The 23,116-nt window shown below is 54.2% G+C and overlaps 1 protein-coding gene across 6 annotated transcripts in view, besides 8 other annotated features; it reads left to right on the forward strand.

Annotated features, from left to right (window-relative positions):
• KCNQ4 (potassium voltage-gated channel subfamily Q member 4) overlaps positions 1-19,744 on the forward strand; it is a 56,666-nt gene extending 36,922 nt beyond the window's left edge. For 2 of the 6 annotated variants that reach the window (NM_004700.4, XM_017002792.2), the window contains 7 exons: positions 1,606-1,694; positions 3,389-3,550; positions 10,376-10,596; positions 12,306-12,405; positions 14,259-14,390; positions 16,957-17,086; positions 17,603-19,744. In NM_004700.4, the coding sequence (NP_004691.2) occupies positions 1,606-1,694; positions 3,389-3,550; positions 10,376-10,596; positions 12,306-12,405; positions 14,259-14,390; positions 16,957-17,086; positions 17,603-17,815 (1,047 nt within the window). In that variant the 3' untranslated portion in view covers positions 17,816-19,744. Of the gene's footprint in view, positions 1-1,605; positions 1,695-3,388; positions 3,551-10,375; positions 10,597-12,305; positions 12,406-14,242; positions 14,391-16,738; positions 17,087-17,602 lie in introns of those variants that run through there. The other 4 variants (XR_007064876.1, XR_007064877.1, NM_172163.3 and 1 more) reach the window with 4 other exon arrangements.
• Positions 49-550: an enhancer, noted in NCBI's record as "H3K4me1 hESC enhancer chr1:41286429-41286930 (GRCh37/hg19 assembly coordinates)". NCBI's record gives its function as "activates a minimal SCP1, AML or CMV promoter by ChIP-STARR-seq in primed H9 embryonic stem cells {active_cell/tissue: H9 hESC(primed)}" and the evidence as "EXISTENCE:reporter gene assay evidence [ECO:0000049][PMID:30033119]".
• Positions 262-406: an enhancer, noted in NCBI's record as "145 bp enhancer 242 fragment used in the MPRA reporter construct; PK_construct_4321". NCBI's record gives its function as "activates an SV40 promoter by MPRA in K562 cells {active_cell/tissue: K562}" and the evidence as "EXISTENCE:reporter gene assay evidence [ECO:0000049][PMID:23512712]".
• Positions 304-448: an enhancer, noted in NCBI's record as "145 bp enhancer 247 fragment used in the MPRA reporter construct; PK_construct_4127". NCBI's record gives its function as "activates an SV40 promoter by MPRA in K562 cells {active_cell/tissue: K562}" and the evidence as "EXISTENCE:reporter gene assay evidence [ECO:0000049][PMID:23512712]".
• Positions 325-342: a transcriptional cis regulatory region, noted in NCBI's record as "GATA motif; MPRA enhancer 242 activity is reduced when this motif is scrambled". NCBI's record gives its function as "necessary for full MPRA enhancer 242 activity {active_cell/tissue: K562}" and the evidence as "EXISTENCE:site-directed mutagenesis evidence [ECO:0005528][PMID:23512712]".
• Positions 367-384: a transcriptional cis regulatory region, noted in NCBI's record as "GATA motif; MPRA enhancer 247 activity is reduced when this motif is scrambled". NCBI's record gives its function as "necessary for full MPRA enhancer 247 activity {active_cell/tissue: K562}" and the evidence as "EXISTENCE:site-directed mutagenesis evidence [ECO:0005528][PMID:23512712]".
• Positions 3,839-4,742: an enhancer, noted in NCBI's record as "NANOG-H3K27ac-H3K4me1 hESC enhancer chr1:41290219-41291122 (GRCh37/hg19 assembly coordinates)". NCBI's record gives its function as "activates a minimal SCP1, AML or CMV promoter by ChIP-STARR-seq in primed H9 embryonic stem cells {active_cell/tissue: H9 hESC(primed)}" and the evidence as "EXISTENCE:reporter gene assay evidence [ECO:0000049][PMID:30033119]".
• Positions 13,891-14,416: an enhancer, noted in NCBI's record as "H3K4me1 hESC enhancer chr1:41300271-41300796 (GRCh37/hg19 assembly coordinates)". NCBI's record gives its function as "activates a minimal SCP1, AML or CMV promoter by ChIP-STARR-seq in primed H9 embryonic stem cells {active_cell/tissue: H9 hESC(primed)}" and the evidence as "EXISTENCE:reporter gene assay evidence [ECO:0000049][PMID:30033119]".
• Positions 18,969-19,577: an enhancer, noted in NCBI's record as "H3K4me1 hESC enhancer chr1:41305349-41305957 (GRCh37/hg19 assembly coordinates)". NCBI's record gives its function as "activates a minimal SCP1, AML or CMV promoter by ChIP-STARR-seq in naive H9 embryonic stem cells {active_cell/tissue: H9 hESC(naive)}" and the evidence as "EXISTENCE:reporter gene assay evidence [ECO:0000049][PMID:30033119]".

Here is a 23,116-nt window from a genome sequence, read left to right on the forward strand (position 1 = left end):
CTCAACATTTAGCAGGTGGGTGGGCCTGCAAAGTTGAGCTGGGCAAGGAGACAGAAGGAACAGCCAGAGGGGTGGGTAGGAAGCCAGGAGTGTGTGGTCTCAGTTTCCCTCTGTGCCATGGCGTGTTGTGACTGTGTGTGGGCTGAGGCCAGGGCTCTGATTTTCTGTGACCCTGGGACTAGGCCTTGGCTTTTTCTAGTCAGGGGTGTGTGTAAGGGAACTCCTTGCAGGAAATGCTTCAGGGAATACTGGCCCAGTCCACCTCTGCCTGCTCCCTAGCCTGTCACCCTCTGAGCCCCAAACCCAAGCCTCACTCAGCCCTTCCTTATCTCTCCTCCCCAGGGTAGAACCCTCCTCCCTGTCGCTGTTATCTCCAGCCACCAGCTCAGCCTTTTCTTCTTAGCGTCCCTTGGGGCACAATGGCCACTGTCCCCTGGGAGCTGGCCTTCTGAGGGGCATTGTAGGGGCAGGCGGCTGGCACTGTCCATGCCAAGAGACAGCTAGTATTGTGGTGCCCATAATTAATGAGACAGCTCTGGCAGCTGCTCCCCAGCCCATGCCAGGGGCCTAGGCAAGCAGGAAGTAAAAATATTCCTGTCTTAGGAGGGTGCCTGGCTGGTGAGGTCAGCAGTGGCAGCCCCTTAAGGACAAGAGGCATCCAAAGAAGGGAGGCGTCCAGGGCCCAGCTCTGCCTTGTCCTGCCTAGCAGCCTCCATGCCTCCCTGCTCTCACTGATGGCCACACTCACAGTCCCTCCCTGGCTCTTCCTACGTGGAGGGAGAGGGACAGTCTCTCCTCCTGTCTGACTTTCATCCCTCCTGCTGCAGAGGAAGCTCGGCAAGCCCATGGATGCTGAGGGGTTGGTAGGTAATGCTTTTCCTCCCCTCTCAGTCCTTAGTATTCCCATGGGCAGTGACAGGCAGCTGGGAAAGATGGAGTGGCATTGCTAGTAATAATAATGACATTCTGCAAACATTTGCAAAGCACCCACATGTGCCAGACACTATATTTGCACTGAGAATGCAGCGGTAACAAAGACACAGCTTGCAGTCTAGGGGGAGAGAAAGTTATCAGTCAAATACACAATGAATAGGTATTCATCAAATGTGATAAGGGGAATAACAGGAGTGTTTAACAGAGGAACCTGGCATGAAGTGCCTACTATATACCAGGCACTGAGCTTGGCATTTAATATACAACTGTTCATTTAATCCTCACAACACCCTGGTAGGCAAGTAGTGTTACATGCGTTTTACAGGTGAAGAAACTGAGGTCCTGAAGCTTTACTTAATTTGTCCTCACTAATAAGGGGCAGAGCTGGGATTGGAAACCCATGTCTGCCTGACAACAAAACTCCAGCTCTTAACCTCTATGCTCTATGGCCCCTGGCTCTGACATTGATCTGCTTTGTCCCCTCGGGGAAGTCGTTTCTCCCTAGGCCTTACTTTCTTGGCTGCCCCTGTCAGTGGCTGTGGAATTGGAACTGGCCTCTGGCTCTGGGTAACCCACAACTGGACCAAGGACTGGGTTCTTTCAGGGGAGAGGGCTGGTGGGGACTGAGAGGCCTCACTGATGCCCCATCCCCCACGTCCCCCATACCACCAGGCTGCCTGGCGCCTGTACTCCACCGATATGAGCCGGGCCTACCTGACAGCCACCTGGTACTACTATGACAGTATCCTCCCATCCTTCAGGTAGGTCCTGCTGGGGGTGGGGGTGGGTGGGGGGCTGGCAGCAATGCCCTTTGAGGACAAGTGGCTGAGACTCAACCCTGGAGGGTGGAAAGGGGGTGATGGCTCCCAGGGGAGCACCCTGGGCTGGCTCTGCAGATCCTATGTAATTCAGAGCCTGGAGTGTCCTTTATTCCACTCTGCTATGCCCAGGGAAGAGGTGGATACTGGACATAGGGCATTGGTGAAGCCCTGCCCCATGGCTGAACCCCGGCCCTGGAGTGCTGGCAGTGTGCATGCTCACCCATAGGTGATGCCATCTAGGGCAGTGATACAGCCAGCTCGTCTCCCCTCAGTCCTGAATGGGGGACAGAGTTAGTGGATATTGCAGCTGGTTGGAGAAAGTGTGGGATGGGCAGAAACATGTGTTCCAGACTTAGGTGCATGCTCCTACCCTGAACCCCCATGTAGGAATATGTGCCCACTTTTACTGGGCCAGTCAGCAGCCTCAGGGCCCAGAAGTGGGTCTGCCCCACTGGCCCGGGCCAGGCTAAGACTGCATGGGGGTGGCACCAGGAGAGGGATTATTAATAGCATCACAAAGGTGCGTGTGGCCAGGTGCCTGGCTAGGCCCTCAGGCAGGAATGAAAACCATGGAGCCCAGCTCGGTCCCACGGGCAGGCGGGCATCAAGCTTGTGGCTGGGGCAGGATGCTGTGCTCAGCGCTTCTGCGGGTGCCTTTTTTGCCTCATTAGTTCTCCAGGAGAAGCTGTTGCGCGATTCCACTCGCCTCTGCACCTGGCTTCCCCATCCCTGCGCCCTCCCAGCCCTAGGGGCTTCCCAGGGGAGAAGCAGGAGAGAAGGGGCCGGGAAGAGGGGCTCCCAGCATCACACTGGTGCCCCCACATCTCTCCACCCGGCAGAGGCAAGCTCCTACCTCAGAGTGGGAAGGTGACTAGATTAGAAGAGAGGCCTTTTGTTCAAGGCTGGGCATTCGAGAGTGGGGCAGGGCTGATTTGTAAGAAATACAATGTGTATGAGGGAAGATCTGGGGGTGGGGGTGGTCAGATGGTCTAGGACCTCTGCCCAGAGGAACAGAGCCTAGTCTGGAGATTCTGGATCCACTGGGCATCTGCTCCCTGGACCTTAGTTTGGTCATCCATGCAATGGGAAGGCAGGCAGGAGAGAGGGAAGATACCCTCCTTGGCTCATGGCAGCAGAAAATGGCCTGGAGAGTTAGGAAGAAGCCACGGTCCCGAATCTAGTCTTCAAAAACCCAGTGGCAAGAGTGAGTGCTGGAGGGGAAGGAAGCTGGGCTAGCCACCCTGTCACACCGCCCTCCTCACCTCCATCTCCCCTTAAAATCCAGAGTCAGATCTGGAGGGAAAGGATGTCAGGGCCACTGCTGGCCTCTCTGAGGAGGCACGGCACGTTCAGGCAGTCAGCTTGATGGGCTGAGAGTAAGCTCCTTGCACGGCTGCCCTTGAGCTGTGCCAGCCTTCACATCCATGCTTGGCATCCCTGGGAACTGGGGGTAGAAAGGGAGTGGGGAAGGCCAGTCTCCCACTGTCCACCCTGTCCTATTCTGGCCGGGCTGTCAGTGAACACCTCTAGAGCAGCAGGACCTGGCAAGATCTGAGCTCAGGAGCTCTGTGCCCACTGGGTGAGGGGGGTGGTGCCATGGCCCTGCCTGCCACTGATGGTGCCCTCTCCTGCAGAGAGCTGGCCCTCTTGTTTGAGCACGTGCAACGGGCCCGCAATGGGGGCCTACGGCCCCTGGAGGTGCGGCGGGCGCCGGTACCCGACGGAGCACCCTCCCGTTACCCGCCCGTTGCCACCTGCCACCGGCCGGGCAGCACCTCCTTCTGCCCTGGGGAAAGGTAGGGGCCCCGTGGGGCTGCCACCTCCTCTTGCTTCTCCTCCTCTTCTTCCATTCTCTGTCTTCATCCTCTCTCAGACCTGCCTTCAGCCACTTCGTGGGTGTCTGGGCCTGTTTGGGGGACTCCTAGGCCGTCAGAGGGCCAGACAGGTACAGACTGAGGGCCTCTCTGGAGGGGTCAGGCTGGACTCACCTTTTTGTCCTGTGGGGCTCTGAGGGTCTGAGTGGGAGAGATGTCCATGCCATCCTTTCCCATCATCTCCTCCGTTCATGGCATTGTCCTCTTTCTTTCTCTGTTCCCACGTCCCCCTTACTCCTCCATCCCTGCACCCCCATCCCTCCCGGGAAGCTGGACAGAGGAGGAGGCCACTGGCCACAGGTGCTTACGGCTCAGGTAATCGTGGGCACCATCCTGGGGTGTGAGGGCAGGGAACCCCCTCCCCCGGCATGTTGCTCTAGGAGGGACTTAGTACTGAACTCGCCTCTTGGGAACGAGATGCCAGCTGGAAAGAGAGCTCTGTGATTAAGACCTCTGTAGGACCTGCGTAAACTCAGCCAGTGACTAATGTTCCTTTCTTGTGCAGCCCTTGTCTGCAACTTTGCTAATCCCAGAGGGTCCTCTTGGGGTTCTGTTTCCTTCCTTACTGAGGTACACTTTGGCGCTCCCAGCCATCTCTTTCCCCTTGAACTGTCTCTCCTGAAGCTTTTTACAAAATCTTGAAAGAAGAACAAAGAACAAACAATGCTTACCCCCACATAAACGTTCCTAAAGAGAAGAATTTCAGGCATGTTTGGATAAGGGAAGCCCGTCCACTCACAGCATGGGAAAGTGGCTGCTCTTGTAGAGGTTTAGCTTTGAGGTCAGGGGTTAAATCCCCCTCATTCTTTTTCCCTCGTCCTTTACCCATCTCTTTGTTTTGTCTCATCTTCACACATCACCCCTGAACCAGCCAAATGGACATCTGGCCTTTGAGCTTCAATGTCATTCTGAGCCCCAGGCCCAGAACAAAGAATAGGAGAAGAGGCGAGCCGCCCAGTGATCAGCAGGGGAGGCGTGGTGGAAGCTCGCCTCTGCCACCCGATGCTGTGTGTCCTGGAGGAAGCCTTCAGTCATTCTGAACCTGTGTGTCCTGGCGGAAAATCGGCAGTGTTTAGGCTGATTGGGGCTCTGGGTACTCTAGAGTTTCTGGGCTGAAAAGGCCTAGGGAGGAGTTTTGGTGCAGAGGATGCAGGGAGCAGCCTCCCTTCCTTGTTCTCAGTGAGGGCACTTCTGGGCCAGGGGCTGAACAGGAAGTGGGTGGAGAGGGAGAGTCCCTCCAGGTCTGGGGCTGGAGGGAGGGGAAGCGTGACTGCCAGGCCAGGCTGAGAGCTCCCTGGGAGAGTAGGGCCCCTCTCAGATTCTCTGCCCGAAGGTCCCTCATTGTTACCTTCATCCCTACCAAACATAGTTTCCAGGCGGAAACTCAAGAGTTTTTGTATCCCAGCAATCCTGTCCAGGACCTGAGCCAGGGCTCTCTGTGCTTCCAGTTCACTCTGGTCTCATTTTGACTGAATAGGAAGGCAAGGGGAATGGACATTAGCCTGGGGCCTAGTACCTGTACACTCCCCACGGCTCCTTTGGTCCCTGACACCCCCAGGGCCCAGGAACAGATTACTACTAAGGGCTTGGCTGTCACTGACTCCCAGCCTCGTATCTATCTGCCTGGGAGGGGACTTGGCGAGTGTCTGGGACACAGGGTGATGGTAGTAAAGTGGCCCTTTCTCCCAGGGACCCCAGGGGGCTGAGCCATGGTTTGTAGATCAGTCACCAGGCTCAGGCCCAATGGCCGTATCGTTAATCGTGGCTGTCTAGACCGCCAGCCAGGACACCCTTCCTCCACCAAAAACACACACACATATACACACTCGGTTGGCCACACCTCTGGTGGTGCTTGGGGATGGACCTGGGCCAAGTGTGCCCACAGGAAGTGGTGCTAAAGGAGCAGGATTTCCTGGGGGATGGCATTGCCAGGGCCAGCACCTCTCCTCTTCAGGGTTTTGCAATGAGTTTATCAAACCATGGTCTCCAGACCTCCTGCATCAGCATCCCATGGAGTGTTTGTTCAAAATGCAGATACCTGGACCTGTCTCCAAGCCCACAGGATCAGAATCTCTGGAGAAGAGACACAGCCTTCTGCATATGTAACATGGTCCCCAGGGGATCCCTATGCAAAGTGTGAGAACATCTACGTTCTGGTGATGGGGCTGGAGGATGATTTAGGTGGGGGTCCTTCTTTCCCACCAGCTACCGGAGGCCGGCCCCATCCCAGCAGCTCCCCACACTCTGCCCACAGCCCCTTTCCCGCTAACCTCTGTTCGTGTCTTATTCTCAAACTTCCAGCCAGATGTTTAATAATAAACGGAGTTTCTTTCGGATCCACGCCAGCTGGAGACCGAGGTACCCCCTCGCCTGCTCCTCCTGTCCCCACTCCTCCTTGCCCCACCCAATTTGGGGGCTGGAGAGGGGACAGGATGGGCCAAGGACAAGGTGCATGTGCCTGCCGCCTGCCGTCTGCCTTGGGTGCCCAGTGAACCCCTCGCCTTTCTGGGATGCCTCTGCTAGGTCTGGGGCATGGGCCCAGGGTGCCAGGAGGGGCACGTGCAGGAGCCTTAAGGATGTGTGCTGGCTCTGCTGCTGATGCCCTCTGTGATCTTGGCCAAATTGCTTCCCTTCTTGGACCTCAGTTTTCCGTCTGTGGAATGGGCAGATTGAACTAGAGGACCTCTGAGGGTCCTTCTCACTCTGACTTTTGCCAGGCCTTGGGCTTAGCTTTCTGTCTCCCTGCTACCCACCTGGGGACCTAGCAGATGCCTGAAGGAGCTGGGTTTGGCACCTTTGCCAGCTCCAGGACCCCAGCTCTTTTAGCGGCATCTCCATGGCATTCCTTGGTACCTGCCCTGTGCCAGGACTTGCTCTGTGCACTAGGGACACGGTGATGAATAAAACATCGTCCTCGGAGAGTTGCAAAGAGTAATTGCAGCTCAGTGTGATGAGTGCAACAAAGGGAGGAAGCACAGGGGCTGTGGAGCCCGGGTCAGGCACACAACCCAGAGGAAGCCCTAAAAGCAGTGGGTTTCAGGGAGGGCATTCCAGGCAGTGAAGCAGCACGGACCCAAGCAAGGAGGCAAGAGGGAGCACAGTGTGGGGAAAAAAGCTGGCAGCCCAGTTTGGCCCCCCTGAGACTGGACATCAGAGCGAAGGTTGGGGGCAGAGCTGGGTCATGCAGAACCTAAAAGCCCAGTGTGAGCTTCACCCTGTTGGCATGCTTGGCAGCCTGAGCTCATGGAGTCCTGGGTTTCCAAAGGTGCCTCTGGGGCCCTGTGGGCTGGGGTCCCGGAGCTAGGAGATGAGTGGCAGGGCTCCTGGCTGCCCATGTGTGCTTCTGCTGAGAGGTGTTTTTTCCTAGAAACGTGGGTTCTGGACCACAATCTAGCTACTACCCACTATTCGTGTGTCCTTGGGCAAATCACCTGACCCCTTTGCACCTCAGTTTCCTCAGATGTAAAATGCAGATGTAAATAGGGTCTGCTTCCACTAAAACTGGACCTGGCTCCAATAAATATTGGCCTTATTTGATTTGGTATGTTCAGCAGTTAAGATCTTATTTACCTTAAAAGAAAATAGCTTAGAAACCATGGCTGTGGGCAATGGTTTGAGCTGAAGCGTTGAGCTAAGGAGTCTCTGGGTCAGGCCCGCCATTTTGCAAGCCTCCTTTGGCTGTGGAGGGTGTGGACAGGAAGGACACAGCCATGGCAGAGGCCAGTGGCGAGGCTGTTTCCATAGTCCCTGAAGAGGGGCTGTATGTGGCTTCAGAAGTCGTAGGCTGCCTCTGTTCCCCCAGTGAGAGTGGCCCTGGGAGGGCAGATCATGAGGCCCTAAAGAAAGTCCTTGTGGAAGTGAGTTCAAGGGGTTGGGACCAGCAGGGCAGCCTGGGCAGAGCTCGGCCTCCCCAGCAGGGCAGCCACAGTCCAGCCCACCCCATCTTTCTCCCAGGTACCAACAGATCCTTAGCCAGAGTTTCTTGACCTTGGCATCATTGACATTAGATAATTCTTTGTGGATTGCGACTATCACATGCATGGTAGGATGTGGAACAGCACCCTTGGCCTCTACCTACTAGATGTCTACCTACTAGACATTGCCACATGTCCCCTGAGTGGGGGAACTTGCTCCAGTTGAGAACCACTGCTCTACACCCTATCCTGATTGCTTGACCCAGAAAAAGAACATAGACTCTGAAGTCAGAGAAGGCTGGGTTCCAGTTCTTGCTCCATCTCATAGGAGCTCTGTGACCTTGGCCAAATCATCTCACCTCTTTCCGTGTATATAAAATAGGGATGGTAAAGACCGCCCACCACACACAGTGGCTGAGAGAACTGAAAGAACTAAGGCAGCCTGATGGGACCCTGCACGTTCTGGGAGCCTGGGAGGGGAAAGAGCTTTTTGGTGCCCACTGTGTGCCAGGTTTTCTTCCACCTTCTTTTAGCTTTCAGACTTAGAGGAGCTGATATGAGCCATTTTCTGGGCCCTGCCCAAGGAACTGGAATCCAGACCCACTCCTGGGAAAACAGTGCCTTCTTGCATTAAAAAGGAGCTCAGGGCCTCTGGCTGGCTGGAAACTTACAGAACCCCACAAACCAGACTGGAAGCTTCCTCAACCATCACAGAATCAGAGCTGGAAAGGGACCTTTCAAGGTCTCTAGTGCAAGCCCTCGAACTCCTTCCTCCATAAGTCCTGCTGAGTGCAAGCTCAGCCTTGCTTGCATTACTTCTTTTGACAGGGAGGTTGCCCTCTTCTCCAGAACGCCATTGGAGCCTTATGTGGTGGGCGCAGTGATGTGGAGTTCCAGGCCCTTGGCCAAAGTGTCAGGGCCTTCTCCACTCTCCTCTCTTCCTCTCCCTCTTGGAGGAGTGGAGGACAGGAGAAGGGGTTGCACGGACCGGGCAGGGTGGAGGGTGCTTGCCAGCATGAGGGAGCCTGCAGGAATGGCTCTGCAGAGGAAAGTTTGGGAGAGCCAACCTCAAACTTTGATTGGAATCTTTGGGATGTGTCGATGGAGTCCTGGGCCAGTGGAGAGCATGCTGGATAGTGGGAACTGGGAACTGTCCCTGTCCTTTTGATACCCTCAGGGCCCCCATCCTTGACCTATTAACCTCTCCCCTCTGGGCAGAGGCCGCCACCCCTAAGGATGGCCCTACATCCTGGCCACCTTCCTGAAGGTGCCCCTGGTTTCGAGGTCTCCCTCACTTCAGCACCTTGGCTCCCTCCCCTCCACCCCATGCCCTGGGCATGGGAGACCCCAGTTCCCACCCAATACCGAAACCAGAATCTCTTCTCTGCTCAACCCTTGATCTGAAAGCCTCTGAGAGTAGGTGACACGGTGTCCTCCCCCAACTCCTGCCCCACTTCAGGTCTCCTCTAAGGCTGGCTGGTACTCTCTTGATCTGGGGCCCCAGACATTTGGGGTGGGTCCCCCTGAACCCGAACCTGAACCTGTCGGAATCTCTAGTGGCAAACCACAGCAGGGGAGGCAGCGATGACGTCACAGGGCATGGGATGGAGGACATTTGCATAGGTCCTACCCCAACAGCCATAACATTGTCCTTGAACCTCTTGGACACAGAGTTACTCTACCAGATCATGGTTAACCAGGGCTTGTCCTGGGGAATGAGGCCTCTGCTAACTTGTTTTCCTCCAACGTTTGGGGAACGTGGTGGGGAGTTGGATGCGGGAAGGGAAGTCTGAGTGCATGTGTAGACGTGCACGTACACGTTCACATGCACACAGACTGTGTAAATGCTGTTGAACCGGGAGCTCAGTAGGCAGTATCGGGGGGTAGATCTTTAGCGGGGATCCAAGACCACACAGGCAGGATGTCAATCAAGGTGGGCTGAACTTAGGTAGGAGAGACCACAGAAGAACATGTTATCAAATAGAGACCCTCACTGAGAGGGCAGGCACCAGGCATGGCCTGGGCATACATGTGGGCCCAGCAGCTAGAACCATGGGGCCGAGGCCCTCAGTAGGCCATCACGCTGCACACCTCCAGGGCACCACTGCATGGAAGTCTGTGTGATGGAGTCCTTATTTTGCAGTGCACTGCCTGCACAGCTGTACGAGGCCCTAAAACCCTGACCAGTGTGGGATCAGATAGCCGCAGCAGTGGGGAGTGGAGGAAAATATGAAATGACACATGTAAACACACGCCAACATATGTACACACACCAGTGCCTGTACACCCACACTCGCACATGTGTGTGCACAAGGTGTGTGTGTGCATGCGCGCACACACACACACCCTCGACTCCACACAGCCTGCCCCTGTGTACAGTGAGGACTGGAGGCCTACCTCCGTGTGCATGGCCAGGTGAGCTTCCGACCCTCAGCAGCCTGTCTGTGCCCAAAGGGGTCGCCACCCCCACCCTCTGCCCACTCACCTGCGCCAGGCCCAGCTCCCACATCCTCCTGTCTGTGTCTCTGACTTTGGATTTCTCCCACTCCTTCCACTCTGACATCTGTCTCCTGTGCACCCCTTATCTGTCCGGGTGATGAGGGGTGGGATGTGGGTGGTGGGGAGAGGATCTGCTTCGACTGACCCCGAATCAGCCTCTTGTAGGAGTGAGGGCCTCCCTTACCACATCCTTGTTCCATCCCAAGAAGTCTCCGCTTGGCGGGGAATCCAGACCTAATAGCCACCCCCAAGTCCTAAGTCAGCTTTGTCCCCACTCACCCCCACCCCCAGCTCTGGCTAACTTGGCTCTCTCCCAACCTGCCTGCCCTGCCAGCAGCCGGATGGGCATCAAAGACCGCATCCGCATGGGCAGCTCCCAGCGGCGGACGGGTCCTTCCAAGCAGCATCTGGCACCTCCAACAATGCCCACCTCCCCAAGCAGCGAGCAGGTGGGTGAGGCCACCAGCCCCACCAAGGTGCAAAAGAGCTGGAGCTTCAATGACCGCACCCGCTTCCGGGCATCTCTGAGACTCAAACCCCGCACCTCTGCTGAGGGTAAGCCCCCGGGGGGCTGAGTCCGATCGAGGGCCGGCTGAGGGTGGCAGGGCGGGGACAGTCTGGGCTGGGAGCAGAAAGATCTGGCTCGCGTCTCAGCTCTGGAACTGATGGACCGTCTTTGGGCTCTGGTCTTCTCATCTGTAAAATGGGCATTATAATATTTGCTCTGCTATACAATGGACATCAGACTGTTTGGGAATCACGTGGAGGGTGGCATTTCATAGGGGTTAGCAGCACAGGCTTTGGAGCGAGACTGCCTGGATTTGCATCCTGGCTTTGTCACTTATCTTAGGCGAGTGACCTAATTTCTCTGGGCCTCATTCTCCTCATTCATAAAATGGGAACAATAATAGCATCCACTTCCTAGGATTATTGTGAGGATTAAATGAGATAATCCATGGAAGGTGAACAGAAGACTTTTGGGAATATAGGAGGTGCTCAACAAATAGCTAAACACAAATGTACTTTGGAAGCGGCAGGAATGCATCCTTGATGAGCCCTGACTATGCACTGCCCAGCACTGGCTTATCTCATTTACTTCTCCCAGTGACCCTGGAAAGTAGGTTCTGTTTTTGTCCCCACTTTACAGACGTGGGCACTGAGATCTCTCAGCTTGTGAGTGGCAGAGGTGCTCTCCTCAAGCAGGTCTATTCAGCTCCAAAGCCCAGGCCTTCTTCCTACCCCTCTTCACCCAGCCCAGGCTGCAAGTATGAGACTGTGGACCATGCTGATGTCACTTTTCTGAGTTTTGGCTCTGCTGGAGACTTCCACTGTGATTTAGGCAGGAGACTGCCCCTTTCCATGCCTCAGTGTCCTCTTCAGGAAAATGAGAGGGTTGGACCAAGCCCCCTGGAAGACTTCTCCCAGCTTTGACATACTTTAGGCCCCTGGGTGGGGAGAGGTGGGGTGAGTGCACAAGGATGGGGGATGGGGACAGCTCCCCCTTTGGCCTTGGAGGGAGGGGACCCAGCCATGCTGTTTCTGCCTGTGCTGTGTCAGCCCTCAAGATGCTGCTGGCTGACACCTCAGAGTTTACAGAACCCCATAGACCAGTCTTTGAGAGGTGCTGCCCATAGAAGCCTGGGCACAGCTGGTGCCCAGGACCTCCCTTCCCTGTCCTGGAAGCTGTCCGGGCTCTTGCCACTGCTCCTGTGAGGCAAGGACAGCATCACCTCTCTGCGCAACACAGGGCACTAGCCTCAGAGAAGCTTCTCTCATTCAGGGAAGAATGGTTTGTTTTAAGGGCCTTCCCTAGTAGCAGAGCTGGGCCTGGGAGCCAGCCACTTGGGTGTCCTTCCATCTTAGCTGAAGGAGAAGACTGTGTGCATGATTACATGCAGTGCCATCAAACCCCTTATCTCTGGGGCTCACTGTTCTGCAAGGTGGAACCAGTGGGGCTTCCTCCAGGGCTTTGTGCAACAAACTTGCCCTGGACTAGGCCAGCTGTGCCCTAAAGCAGCTCCCACCTACCCACCAGGCAGATGTTTACCCTGACTGGCCACCGGGGCAGATGGGCATGCAACACACTGGGGCTTTCCACCCTGGGGAGGGCAGTGAGACACAGGAGCCCCAAGAAGGTTCTGAGCCCTTTCTGGGCCTCTGTCTTCCTATTGGACACTCTACTGGTGGTTTGGCATACAAGGGTCGGATGGGAGGTTGGGAGTGGCCCCTTTGGTGGGCCACTTGCCCCATACCTGCCTTTTCAGATGCCCCCTCAGAGGAAGTAGCAGAGGAGAAGAGCTACCAGTGTGAGCTCACGGTGGACGACATCATGCCTGCTGTGAAGACAGTCATCCGCTCCATCAGGTAAGACTGAGGCCTGAGGCGAGCACCCCCCTCCGTGTGCCACCCACTGCTGCTCCCCATCTGGGCGGGTGGATCACTTGAGGTCAGGAGTTTGAGACCAGCCTGGCCAACATGGTGAAACCCCGTCTCTACTAAAAATACAAAAAATTAGCCAGACGTGGTGGTGGATGCCTGTAATCCCAGCTACTTGGGAGGCTGAGGCAGGAGAATCACTTGAACCTGGGAGGCAGAGGTTGCATTAAGCCAAGATAGTGCCATTGCACTCCAGCCTGAGCAACAAGAGTGAAACTGTATAAAAAAAAAAAATGTATTTTTTATGGTGGGTCTTGGTCAAAAAAGTTTGAAAGCCCCTGCTCTACTGGCTGTCTCCATGCCTCAAAAATTAAGCAGGGACCAGGGTCTCCTAGGCCACGGCCTAGGCATGGATCTGGCCTCCAAGCTCCTTGGTGTGCCGTCCTGGCCTAGTCTCCATCTCCAGCCTGCAGCTCTAGCTCCAGAAACCCCCTCAACCTCCAAGTTTTCTGGGCTCCCCACTTTCTTCCCTGGCTGATACACCTGCCCACAAGCCTCTTTTCTTGTATTCCTTTTAAAATTAGAGTCAGGCTGGGCGTGGTGGCTCATGCCTGTAATCCCACCACTTTGGGAGGCTGAGGCAAGAGAATCACTTGAGGTCAGAAGTTCGAGACCAGCCTGGGCAGCATAGTGAAATCTTGTCTTTGCAAAAAAAAAAAAAAAAAATTAAAAAATTAGCCAGGCATGTTGGTGTGCCCCTGTAGTTCCAGCTACTTGGGAGGCCAAGGTGGAAGGATGGCTTGAGTGCAGGAGTTTGAGGCTGTAGTGAGCCGTGATTGAGCTACTGCACTCCAGCCTGGGTGACAGAGTGACACCTTGTCTCTAAATAGATAAATAGATAAAATCAGAGTCAGCTGGACCTGTCCCCACTACCCCCCACAGTCTGAAGCCTCTGCTTACCCCCTTTTCACCCATCCATTCTCTCCCCTCCATGTGCCCAGTGTCAAGGACATAGTACCTGACCTGCCACCTGACCCAAGCCAGCTCTCCTGGGCCACCCCACCGACCTCTCAGCCAGCATGCCCCAAACCTGCTCCTCTTCCTGGGCTGGTTCCCATTTCAGGCAGTGGCACCACCATCCACTTGGTCACCCAAGCCATGGGAGTCATCCTGGACTCAGACCAGGGAGACTTTCAGCCCCACCTCCTGAACTGCTCCAAGCTCTTCCATATCTCCTCCCCCATCCCCTAAAGCTAGTTTCCCTGCCCACGCCTCTGCCCCTCCAGGGTATTCTCCACACAGGCTGGCAGAGCTGGCATGCTAAAGCAGAGTAACTGAGCCGGGAACAGTGGGTCACACCTGTAGTCCCAGCACTTTGGGAGGCTGAGACGGGCAGATCGCTTGAGTCCAGGAGTTCGAGACCAGCCTGGGCAGCATAGTGGGACCCCCATCTCTTTAAAAAATAAAAATTAAAAAAAAAAAAAACAGAGTTATTGATGTGCCTGCCCCACAATGTCCCATTGCCCAGTCTCTGCCAGAGATGCAGGGCTCTTCAAAGCACACCCCAGCCTCCTTCTCGAGGCTGATCTCCTGTCTTCTCATACCATGGCACCCTGAACCCCATCCTCCACCCCGGCTGGTTGATTAACCCCTTTCCATCTCATCCCTGTTTCTGCTACTTGGAGGTAGGGGAGGCTGGGAGACGCAGCAGAGGCTGTTCATGGTGGCCAAGCAGGAGGTGCCCTGGTGCTGGACAAGGGGATAGCAAAGAGATGGAGAGGGTGCTGGGAAAGAATCCCTGCTCTAACAGGACACTCCCTCTGAGCCCCCTCCCCCAACAGGATTCTCAAGTTCCTGGTGGCCAAAAGGAAATTCAAGGAGACACTGCGACCGTACGACGTGAAGGACGTCATTGAGCAGTACTCAGCAGGCCACCTGGACATGCTGGGCCGGATCAAGAGCCTGCAAACTCGGTGGGTGCACCGGGCCTGTTGGGAGGCAGGGGCAGGGAGGCAGCGACCCCAGCCCTGAATGAAGTCTGAGGCCAACCCCCGAGCACCCCCAAGGGCTCACTGCTGCAGCTGAGTTTCTAGACTGAGGAGGTCCCTGGCTTGCAGTGCCAGCCTGAGGCCAGACCCAGCACCCGTCCCAAGGCTGAGAAACAACCCAACCATAGTTTCTCTGTGAGGTGGGTCCTCTGTGCAAGCCCTATTGACTCATATGCCTTGGGGGCTTTGTTTAGAATGACTGTTTCCTGGTCCTAAAATAATCAGCCTAAAATAATCACTGACCTCCCATCTCCCAAGAGAATAGGCAAATTGTCCTCACTGCCCACCTCTTGCCTCTGGAATCCTCCCACATCTCTCTGGTAGACCCAGCATTAGGAAGAATCCTCACCCCAAGACCCACATCACCTGCACCTTGCCCTTCTCCTCTTCTGGCCTGCATTTTCACTGTCCACTCATTCATTTAATCACTCGAGAAATAGTCAGTGGGCATTTACTACTTGCCAGCCTGTGGGGATATGGCAGAAAGCGCAGCAGAGTTCCCACACTTATGGAGCTTTCATTCTAGTGGAAGGAGAATAAGTGATAAATAAGTAAAACTGGAATATGTCAGACAACGATAAATACTAAGGAGGAAAATAAGGGTCAGGCTGTTAGGGTTTGCAATTTTAAATAGGTGAGAAGGTTCTAGAGGGAACAGCAAGTGCCAAGGACTTGAGAGGGGCAAGTGGCTGGAGTGTTGGCTTCAGCACAGCAGGGAGCCTGGTGTGGCTGCACTGGAGTGAGAGGTAGGAGGTGAGGTCAGAGGGCTAACGGCACTCAGAGAGTGTAAAGTCCTGTAGGCCCCTGCAAAGACGTTGGTGTTCATCCAGGATGAGCTGCAAGCATTGGAGGGTTTTGTGCAAACGACTGACAAGATCTGAATTGTCTTTTAAAAGGATCACCCTGGGTGCTGTGTTGAGGATGGACTTAGCGGAGTGAGGGTGGACACAGGTAGACCAATGAGAACCTGCTTCAGACTTCCACGCATGAGACCGTGGGGACTTGGAACAGAGTGGCAGCTGCAGAGGTGGGACAAGTGGTCAGATTCTAGATACATTTTGTAGGCAAAGTTGACAGGGTTTTCTGATGGGGTGTTAAGAGAAAGAAGAGAGTCAAGGATGAAGCTAAGGTTTTTGGCTTCAGCAAGAGGAAAAATCGAGTTGCCATTTGTTGACATGGAGAAGGCAATGAATGGAGCAAGTTTCGGTCAGGAGATTTGGGAGGTGCCGGGTTTGTGATGCCTATCTGACATTCAAGTGGAGTGTTGATCTGGCAGTTGAATAGAGAAGTGTGGAGTGCAGAGCAGAAGTACAGGATGGAGATGAAGATTTGGTGTCGAAAGTGTAGAGGAATTGAAAATTATGGATCTGAAGACATCAACTAGTGAGTGGAGTAAATAGAGAATAGAGGTCCCAAGAGTGAGCCTTGGATCCTGCAGTGTTTCCAGGTTGCAGAGATAGAGGAGGAACTAACAAAGGAGACTGTAAAGGAGAGGTCAGGGAAGTAGGAAAAGAACTGGGAGAGGGTGGTGTTTCAAATGAAGAAAGGGTTTGCTGGAAGAAGGGGTGATCAGATGTGTTGAGTGCTGCTAGTAAGTCAAGTAAAATGAGGACAGGAGTTGATCAATGGATTTAGCAACATGGGGTTATTTGGGAGCTTGACAACAGTAGTTTTGGTGAAATGGCAGGGGTGAAAGCCTGACTGGAGTAGGTTTAAGAGAGAAGGGGAGGAAAGGAATTGGAGGTAGAGGATAGAGATAACACTTTCAAGAATTTTGCTGCAAAGGAGAGCAGAAAAATAAGGTGAGGTCAGTTCTAGCCTTGTCCACCCACCTTAAAAGTCACATTCCCACGTGTCTCCACTCCTCCCATCCTCTTTCCCCTTTTCCCCAATCCATCTTTTCTTTTCTTTTCTTTTCTTTTTTTTTTTTTTGAGACAGTATCTTGCTCTGTCGCCCAGGCTGGAGTGCAGTGGTGCAATCACAGCGCACTGCAGCCTCGACCTCTCCGGCTCAAGTGATCTTCCTGCCTCAGCCTCCTAAGTAGCTGGGACCACAGGCATGAGCTACCATGTCCAGCTAATTTTTAAAAAATTATTTTTGTAGAGAGGAGGGCTTGCTATGTTGCCAAGTCTGTCTCGAATTCCTGGGCTCAAGTGATACCTCCCTACCTAGCCTCCCCAAATGCTGGGATTATAGGCATGCGCCACTGCGCTGGGCCTCCTAGTCCACTATTTCCATTCCTCTTTCACCAGACGGTTGTTTTACTTGTCAGGTTCGTGTGTGGTGCCTTTGCTTGGCCAGTGGAGAACCACCAGAGCAGGGGCCAGTCCCTCCACCCTCAACTCAGCCTCCATCTGGCAGGGCAATGGCCCCTTCCCTCAGATTGCCTGTCCCCTCGTGGTGCCTTCTCCTTCATCAGGCAACCTATAATTCTTGTGGAAGGGAGGGACGGCGTGTCCCCGGGCCCTCTGATGGTTCCCTTACCCTTAGGGTGGACCAAATTGTGGGTCGGGGGCCCGGGGACAGGAAGGCCCGGGAGAAGGGCGACAAGGGGCCCTCCGACGCGGAGGTGGTGGATGAAATCAGCATGATGGGACGCGTGGTCAAGGTGGAGAAGCAGGTGAGTGTAGGATGGGGTGGCGGAGCTGGCCATACCAAGAAGCTCTGGGGGCCGCGGTGACATGGGGAGGATGCGTTTCCCACAGCCACAGCCCAAGGGTCCCCGAGAAGACCTAAGAGCCCCCTCCCCGGCCGAAGCCCCCGCCCTCGCCGCCAGACATTCCCATAAACCCGCCCTCTCCTGCTAAGCCCCGCCCCCAGGCTGCATAAGCCCGCCCATAACCTTCAGATAAGCCTACCTCAGTTCCCCCTACTCCATTTGACCCCGCCTCTCAGTTGTCGCTGTAGCTCGCGGACTATCCCCATCGGTCACACCTAACCACCCCCCGGGTTATGCACCAGTGCCCAGCTTCGCCCCTCGCTCTAGCCAAGCTCCACCTTTCCAGGCGGGATTTGTGCTTCCCAGATAAGCCCCGCCCACTCCACCGGCTAGGGTCCGCCCCGAGACCCAAGCCCCGCCCCCGGCCGCGTCCCCTCCGGTCCCAGGCCCTGCTTCCCAGCTGCGCCCCGTCCCCAGGTGCAGTCCATCGAGCACAAGCTGGACCTGCTGTTGGGCTTCTATTCGCGCTGCCTGCGCTCTGGCACCTCGGCCAGCCTGGGCGCCGTGCAAGTGCCGCTGTTCGACCCCGACATCACCTCCGACTACCACAGCCCTGTGGACCACGAGGACATCTCCGTCTCCGCACAGACGCTCAGCATCTCCCGCTCGGTCAGCACCAACATGGACTGAGGGACTTCTCAGAGGCAGGGCAGCACACGGCCAGCCCCGCGGCCTGGCGCTCCGACTGCCCTCTGAGGCCTCCGGACTCCTCTCGTACTTGAACTCACTCCCTCACGGGGAGAGAGACCACACGCAGTATTGAGCTGCCTGAGTGGGCGTGGTACCTGCTGTGGGTGCCAGCGCCCCTTCCCCACCTCAGGAGCGTGAGATGCCAGGTCGCACAGAGGGCAGCAGCAGCGGCCGTCCCGCGGCCTCTGGGCCCCCCAGTGCCCTGCCCACTCCATCAAGGCCCTATGTGGCCCACCTGGCAGGGGCACAGCCCCGGGAGTGGGAGCGGGCGCTGGGGCCCTGGGCCCTGACCCAGCTTCCAGCTATGCAAGGTGAGGTCTCTGGCCCACCCTTCGGACACAGCAGGGAAGCCCTCCCGCCAAGTCCCCGCCCCACTTGGGGGTGGGCCAAGGTGCCCCCACAGGTACCCACAAAGCACAGGACCCTGCCACAAGGCAGGTGGACACCATATATGCAAACCATGTTAAATATGCAACTTTGGGGACCCCCATGGGGTCTCTCTGTCCCTCCCCCATTGGGAGCTGGGCCCCCAGCAGTAGCTGGTCTCAGGCTGCTTGGCCACCACCCTGTCCCTATTCTTTGGCTTATCACTCCTTCCCCTCCCAGCATGGGGCCTGTTTCTCCCCTGCCCTCTCCTAAGGGCAATGCCTGGGCCTTTCTTCCCATTTGCAAGTGTCAGCTCCCAGGGGCTCCCTCCTCCTGCTGGGTGGCCACTCCCCTCCTTGGCCCTCCAGACACCACTCATAGTCAGCACAGGTTTCTGTATCCTCCCCAAAACTCCCAGACAGTGCTTCGTGGACGATCGCACAAACATAGCCTTTTAGTTTCTCCAGACAGGAAGAAAGCCTCTCACACTTAAACATGCAATGACGTGACACACTTGGAGACATGAGTGCAGAGCCACTCAGCCGCTCCTGGGCCTCTGCAGCAGATGCCAGTGGACTGGCCTTGCAGGGTGACGACCACTAAGAGGAAGACCCCCAACTCCATCTGAGCAGGAGAAGGAGCTTTGAAGTAACCCGAGAGCTCTCCAGGCCCCACCCAGACCTTTACCCGCTCCCCTTCTTCAAGAAGATCTCCTCCTCTCTGGTCCAGGAGCCCTAACCCACTGCCTCTGCCTGTCCCCAAGGGCCCGCCTCCGTGTCTCCACAGCACAACTCGGGCCCAGGCCTGACACCACTGGAGAGACCCCAGGCCCACTTCTAGCCAGGCCTGTGCCTTCCTAGTCACTCTAACTCCCAGAGAGAATAAGAATGCATGTAATAGCTATACCAACCGCGCATCCGGCTTTCACATGCACTGTCTCCCCTCCCTCCACACCCCACTTCTTCACTTCAATTGGCAGCGCCACATCCAGGCGTCAGCCCCCATTCACTCCAGGAACACTTTCTTATCCCCACCCCTTTGCTCCTCTTCTGCAAAGCCAATGCAGGTGGCAGGAAGGTGAGGGGTAGTGGACCAATGGCAACCCTCTGTGGGAACAAGGGGCCGAGGCCACGCTGCCTGCATCTCGTGCTGGGGACCTGCATGCGCCAGCACCAGGGCTTGGACTGGATCTTACTCAGTCCATGGTGCCCAGCCTCTGCCCCAACATGCCCTCTGCATGTGACCGTCATGCCCTGGATGGAGCCACTCCTGGCTCACCCCACCTGCACTGCACTGTCCCCAGAGAGCCACCCCTCCACCCACTCAGAGACAGCTGTGGAGAGGGCCAGGAGAATGGGATTACCCTATGACCAAGGAGACATGGGAAGAAGCCCTCCTTCCTTCCACGATCGAGGTTCCGCCATCAACTCGGTTCTCGGATATGCAAGTACCTCACTTTGTTAACTTATTAACTTATTGGTTTCATTAAAGTTTTCAAGAGGAGGTGATTGTTCTTGGTTTTGTTCAGTGGCTGTGAGGTGAGGCTCCTGGTTTGGGGGTGGGGACAAGGAGATTTGGATTGGTCGGGACTCTTTGTTGTATACAACAAAAACCCAACCCTGTATGGTTTAAACAGACAAACAAAAAGAAACTTATTGGCACAGAGAACTGAGAAGTCCAGGGGATAGATTTGGTTTCATGCACAGTGAGATCTAGATGCTTAAACGTGTCAGGACTCTTGTTTCCTGTAAGCCTTCCTTTCTGGCAGGCTGACCTCTCATGGTGACCAGTAAAATTGGCCACCACTTTCCTAATAGTTTGCATCAGTCAAGATCAAGTCAGGAAGGCAGAAACAACACTAAGTTTTTCAGCAAAAGAATTTATTATAGGTAATGGGTTACACTGATGCAGGAGGGCTGAAAGAACAAAAGAGAATTTTCTCTAGGTGATTCTGAGATAGCCTAGAGAAAATAACTGCAGAAAGCAGTTACCACTCCCAGAGCTGCAAGAGTATAGGAAACAGGTTGGGGTTATCAGAACCCACAAGCTTGCGGAGAGGGAGCCCGGTAGTGTTGGGGCTCAGAGATCTGAAAAGGAGGTACTCCCTGGCTGGTGCTAGTACCTCTTAGGGGACACAATGAGGCTTGTCTGGGAGTATGGGAAAAAAGCCGAAGTCTGGGATCAACTGTTGCAACCTGGCTGTTGCTGATAAGGATAGGAAGCAAAGGAAGAGAGAAGTCTCCACTTTTCTTGCCTTCCAGTCTTCCCCTAGTACCCCTTATTGTCAAAGCTAGCGAACAAAGGAGTGATGTGGTTTGCAGAGTCCCAGCCCCAGTATCACAGAGTTAGAAGGCTGCACTTGGAACTGAAAGACAATAACATGGGCACGGGCCACCCCTTTGGACACACAGTTTCCACAAACATCAATCCATACATACTTGAACCGCCATATAACGACAGTAGCTTCCACCTAGTAAGATGAAACTGTCCTTTATACAAATGAAGACACTCTAGTCCCCTCCCCCTAAATGGGAAAAACACAACGTCCCACGGTTCAACAGATGCATCCATCTCCAGGGGTTAGTCACTGAATCCATATTTGGGTTAAGTATTCCTCTAATTCAGGCACAATTCCACCTACAACTAAACACTAAAGTAAAGTTGATCATCACATACAATGTTTATATAAAATATGGGAGAAAGGAGGAGGGAGGAAAAAATAATATGTACAGTGCACACACACACATGCACACACATCCCAAGCAAGGAAGGAAGTACGCATAGCCGCAATCGACCTCTTTCTGGTATCTCTGGTCACAGTGCCATGGTTGGTATGAATAATTTCCTTATTCCATTGCCCTTCCATGTTTCCTTTGCCCTCAGCCAACACCTCAGCTTTTTAGGGACCTTTTTTTTTTTTTTTTTTTGAGACAGAGTCTCGCTTGGTTGCCAGGCTGGAATGTAGCGGTGCGATCTCAGCTCACTGCAACTTCCACCTCCTGGGTTCAAGCGATTCTCCTGCCTTAGCCTCCCAAGTAGCTGGGACTACAGGCATGTGCCACCACACCCAGCTAATTTTTGTATTTTTAGTAGAGATGGGGTTTCACCATGTTGGCCAGGATGGTCTTGATCTCCTGATCTCGTGATCCACCTGCCTTGTCCTCCCAAAGTGCTGGGATTACAGGCGTGAGCCACCGTGCCTGGCCAGGGATCTTTATATGGTGGAGTGACCCAGATAATCATTCCTGAAGGGTCTGAATCCTCAGCGGTCCTGCATGGGTGGGTGTCACAGCTTTTCATTGACTTTTGCTATCATACATGGAAGTACTTATTATAGAAAGGCCTTAGAGAATCCCTTGGGTTCCAGACTTAGTCCTCCTTGCCCTGTTGTGTGGCAGCAACCAATTTCCGCTCGGTAATGAAGATCAGTCATGCAGCCAGTGTATTAACTCTTTATTTTTCCTGCTGGTTGAGTGGCATGAGGAGCCCACAATGGCCTGGTTAAAGTTTAAACCTCCAACGTAATGAAAACTATGTTGCCTCCCTTCCCTTGAAAACTAAGACCTCCAAACTAGCAGAGCTCAATGCTACAGGGACCAGAGGCAGAAGTTTTGTGAGTGGGTGGAGTAGGCTGAATAATAGCCATTCAAATATAGCAAGTTCTAATTTCTGGGACCTGCAAATGTTACATTATAAGGAAAAGGGGCCTTTGCAGATGTGATTAAATTACGGATCATGATATGGGGAGATTATCCGAGACTGTCTGATGGGCCTAAATCCAGTGACAAATGTCTTTTTAAGAGAGTGGCAGAGGGAGATCAAGTCACACAGAAGAGGAGAAGGTGATATGAACATAAAAACAGGGACTGGGGTGATGCTGCCACAAGCCAAGGAATGCCAGCAGCCACAAGAAACTGGAAAAGTCCAGGAATGGATTCTTGCCTAGAGCTCTGAAGGGAGCACAGCCCTGCACACACCTTGATTTGGGCTCAGTGAAACTGATGTTGAACTTCTGGCCTCCAGAACTGTGAGAGAATAAATTTCTGTTGTTTTAAGCAACCAATTTTACAGTAATTTGTTATGGTAACCACAGGAAACTAATACGGCGGATTATTTGGTGTCATAGTGAGAGAAGCCACTCTCACCAGCTCCCTTGGATTCCTGGAACCTTATATCCTGGCTATGTCAATGAGGATAAACATACCTGCTTCATGATGGAAAGGGTCCAGTGGGATCGACCTGGCACCAAGTGGCTAGGTGGACCCTTGCAGAGGGATGATATACTAAGTACTTAGCATTTGTCTTGGCTGGAGGCAGGTTGGACATACAGTGTGGCATTAGTCAGATCAGCCTTGACGAGTTACGTTCATGTTGTTGAACCTGTAAATAGTCTCCATTCTGGCCACCATGACCACATTGTACATAAACATATGGAGAATGCGCTGGAGAGACTAGGGAGAGAGGCTGGCTGACATCCATCCAATGTGCCATCTTGTCCATCGAATTATCAAGAGCTGCCTCTGCCATGGATGACTTTGGGTGAGATTTTACTTGGAATACAAATATCTTCATATTCTGTGTCATTTCTGAAAGTCCATCTACTAGTCTCTCCCAGTTTTTCTTATGGCCAGTCCTCCAGTTCTGTGCTTTCTGAACCCCTGACCATCCAGCCAAACCATTAGCCACTGCCCATAAATCAGTGTAGATCCATACTTCTTGTCATCTCTCAATCAGACAAAATGGACAACCAAATGTACTGAAGGACAGGTAGGATGGAGCCAGGCCTGGGAACTGGGGTGGTGGCAGTGGTGGTGATGTTCCAGGAAAAGGCACAGTATGTGATAGGGTCCAGAGGCACCAGTGAGTGTGGTAGAT

The sequence above is a fragment of the Homo sapiens genome, chromosome 1 (assembly GCF_000001405.40).
Source record: "Homo sapiens chromosome 1, GRCh38.p14 Primary Assembly".
Taxonomy (NCBI): domain Eukaryota; kingdom Metazoa; phylum Chordata; class Mammalia; order Primates; family Hominidae; genus Homo; species Homo sapiens.